Below are 4,160 nucleotides of genomic sequence, written 5' to 3'. Positions count from 1 at the left end.
GAGGTTGGTTCCTCGGGTCCCCACATGGAGCTGCTCTTTTGTTATCCTTAAATATAATCTATTACAATAGTATTATTGGCAACAGTCAAATTAACATTAATTATATTTTGAGTCATTAAAATACAGTTTTCTCTGTGAATTTTTAAAGGTTTGTATTTTTATTATGCAATATTTTAATCACACATAATCATATGGTAAATAATAACATAAACACCCACGAACTTACTACCCAATTTAAGAAATAAATTATTACCAATACCATTGAAGCTCTCTTTCCTCTACTGCATTTTCCTGCCTTCCACAACCTCCTGCATCCAGGAATAACCATTACACTAAATTTTATGTATATCTTTTTCCTGTTTTTTTTAAATAGTTATTCTCCCCTCTGGACATTAAAATCACCGGGGAAATCTTTTAAATACCAGATAGTTTGCTCCTATTTTGGACTTTTCCCTTTGGAAGCCATGTAGAGCAACAAGGAAAATGAGTAAAAGAAAAAGGAAAAACACAAACATCATTTTACATGGAACTAGGAAACAGAGAAAACCCACAAACTCCAAGTTACATGTAAGTAATGCCCAAAGCAGGTGAGACTTGAAGAGCCTCATAAGAGGCAGACATGAGAAAAGTCAGGGAGAACAAGGGTCTAACTAGCAGACCTCAGAAATCATCAACAAAAAATGCATTCCCAGAAGCAGAGAATAACTGCCCTAAGTGGGACATCTGTGAGTAGGGTAAGAAGCAACAGAGAGAAGTGGTCAAAAGTGCCCCCAACAGATCCAGGAATGGCATACCTCAGAAAGCACAAACAAATAGACATTTGAAGGCAAGGGCTGCTCCTATTAGTTGTGGCATCCAATAAAGAAACAAACAGAGAAAATCAAGGTTGGCTGTAGGAGCCCTTCTGAGCCAGTTTAGATACACAGAGACGAGCAGGTATGGTTACACTGGGTTCCATATTTGAAGGAAATGGCTCACTACTTAAGTAACAGAGGAGGAAGTACTGACTTGCAAAGCCCAGAGATTTTCCATATGCTCTTCCCCCAACTCATCTCACAACCCTCCCCAACATAGGCACAAAATAACTTCCTGCAGATGGTTGATCCAGAAATCCACCTAATACAATTGACTAACAAATATTTCATAGGCACAGGATCTATTCAACTACACAGACTAGAAAACTCTTGTGCTAATGAAGAACACTCAAGATTCAAAGACATCATAACCAAATATTCCATCATAAAGTTTAAAAATTTGTTACATGCAATGACAAAAAAGACAAAAAATTCAGAAATACAAGAATTCAGGGAAATGAGATGAAAACTGGCAAAATTCAGGAATAAAAAAATCTATTTTTTCAGAAATAAAGAATATATGAAAAGGAACACAAGAAAGAAAAGACACTATAGACGACACACACAAGATGCCTGTAAATGATACAAAAGATAGGAATGGGAGAAGTGATCAAATGAAACAGAAACAGAGAAAGAGATAAAAACGATTAGGGAGAAAATTAGAATTAAAGAAGATAGGCAGAAAATCAAACACATGCATAACTGTTGTCTCCAAACACTAAAACCAAAACTATGAAACAGAATAAATGCTTAATGTATAATTCAAAAACACTTTCCTGAAGTAAAAGACTTGAATTTACATACTGAAAGGGCAAATCATGTACTAGGGAAAACTTACTTCAAATGGTCCAAACTGAGACATATCCTAATAAAATTGTTAGATGTTAAAGGATTCTTTGAGCAGCCAAACAAAAAGATCAAATCACTTATAAAAGAAAGAAAATCAGGCTGACATCGGACTCTCCCATGGCATCATTTAACACCAACATAGTGAAGTGAAATTCTTATCAGATATTCAAAGAAAAGAAATTGCGATAAAGATTTGATATCCAGCCAAGTTGTCCTTCAAGCCTAATGCCTAACAGTTTAAAATATGCAATAACTCTGGAAATATTGTTCTCACGGGCCATCCTTGAGGAAAATAGCAGAAAATAAATTCTAGTCAAACAAGAGGTAATTGAGGAAAATCTGGCAAAAAGACTGTCAAAGCATTCAATATATTTAACTGTAGACCTAAAATAAAAAGCAAGCATGGAGGTAAAAGTGACATAATACAATGTAAATAGCACACACTCTGACAATGTGAAAATGAGAGGAGAAGGGCAAAAGATGATGGAATTAGAAATAAGCAAGTCAATTGCTTCATCCCTAGCAGCTAGGAGTCAATAGTCACCACTTAAAATTAATCACAAGGGGCAGTTCCTCAGTGTGGCAGTTGAGAATTAGAGAGTAAAGGCTTTCAGATGAACAACGTTGTAGAACAAAGACTGGATGTGAGTTAATTCTCAGCTGCTGTATGACTTTAAACAATTGTATTTCCCTAAACCGTGGAGAAGTCAGTGCCTACTGGAAGATAGACAGAAAATCCAACACATGCATAATTGGTGACTCCAAAAGCTAATTATTAGGAATATTACTACATGAAATTTCAAATGTGAAAGCACCCAGGCCACTCTCTGGAACATAGTAAGTGCTCAGAGCTCTGTCATCCAGGCTGGAGTGCAGTGGCACAATCTTGGCTCACTGCAACCTCTGCTTCCCAGATTCAAGGAATTCTCATGCCTCAGCCTCTCGAGTAGCTGGGACTAAGGTGTGAACCACCATTCCTGGCTAAGTTTTTTGTATTTTTAGTAGAGACAGGGTTTTGCCATGTTGGCGAGGCTGGTCTTGAACTCCTGGCCTGAAGTGATCTGCCCACCTCATCCTCCCAAGGTACTGGGATTACAGGCATGAGCCACCGTGCCCAGCCAGTGCTCAGTGCTCTTACTGGAAAGTTGCCCAAGGGCAGGCATGGGCAACCCTGAGACCCTAGCTGTTGATGTTAAGAAGTCACGCCTCCTCTCATTCCAGGCAAGCACCAACAACTCTACTGGTTTTCCGTAGTGCTAATTTCTGTGTAGAAGGTGAATCTGCTGTAAGACACCATCTTTCCCCTTTAGTTTCCTACTTTAGAGGATTTGATTAACCAGGAGAAGCTGGAGCTACCCCAAGACATTTTCTTTATTTCTTCTAGCAGGTTCCTGCCACACCAATATCATTATCATTTTTAAATTTCTATCATAAACATTTAAACATGTTATTTTTCTAATCTTATTATTCTTGTGACTTATTTATTTTTACTTTTACAGTTTTAATTTTTTAGTTCTTAACCCTAAAATCCCATCTATGTCTACATTTTTGCTCACTTTTTACTTTTATGGCTTTATCCTTTTATCTTAATCTTTCATCTTATTTACTTTTATATTTGTAACCTTTAATTTTGCTGGTGTATAGCCTTTAACATTTTCTTCTGAATTTCATCCATTTTATTTAATTGTTATTTTTAAGCTCCTAACCTTTTGCCTTTATTGTGATTTATATTCTTTATAAACGTATATTGCTTTTTTATGGTTGTTTTAATATCCTTTTAATCTCCTATACTCTCTCTCATGACTGAAATAATTTCATTCATTTTGCCTTTCTTTCTATGAAAATTATGACAAATATTCATTTCTTTTTACAATGGCCAGCCAGAATGTGTTGCTATAGATGTGGTTGCACAGAAAAGCTCACCCTGTAAGGAGCAGAGGTTGGACCCTTCTTCTTTGCATTGGTCCTAAGAGCTAAACCCTGTTTCTTAAAGAACCGATCCCTTTAAGGGTTTCTACTCTACCCCACTCCCTGAATATCCAGTAGACTCACAAGTTCACACTTTCCAGAATTCTAATTCTTTTGCACAGATGAAACACTTGATTAAGGGATTAAGGGAATGGTATTGCTTCCAAACATCTCACACCCTCTAATATTGTAGAAGAGATTCCCTGGTTTTAGATTCATCATCTTTAAGTCAGTTTGATCCTGCTGGACCAATTTCTATCCAGGGGGCTATTAACTTCACTTTAATTGCCTCAAGGGAGATGTTTTCCCTCTTCCTACCAAGCAAAATGCTGATTATTTAAATACATTTTGGAGAGGAGCCAAGATGACTGAATAGGAACAGCTCCGGTCTACAGCTTCCAGTGTGAGCGATGCAGAAGATGGGTGATTTCTGCATTTCCAAGTGAAACTTAAATGTCCCTCTCTGACAGCTTTGAAGAGAGTAGTGGT

This window comes from Homo sapiens, chromosome 11 (genome assembly GCF_000001405.40).
Source record: "Homo sapiens chromosome 11, GRCh38.p14 Primary Assembly".
Classification (NCBI taxonomy): Eukaryota; Metazoa; Chordata; class Mammalia; order Primates; family Hominidae; genus Homo; species Homo sapiens.
This window is presented reverse-complemented; position numbering follows the sequence as displayed.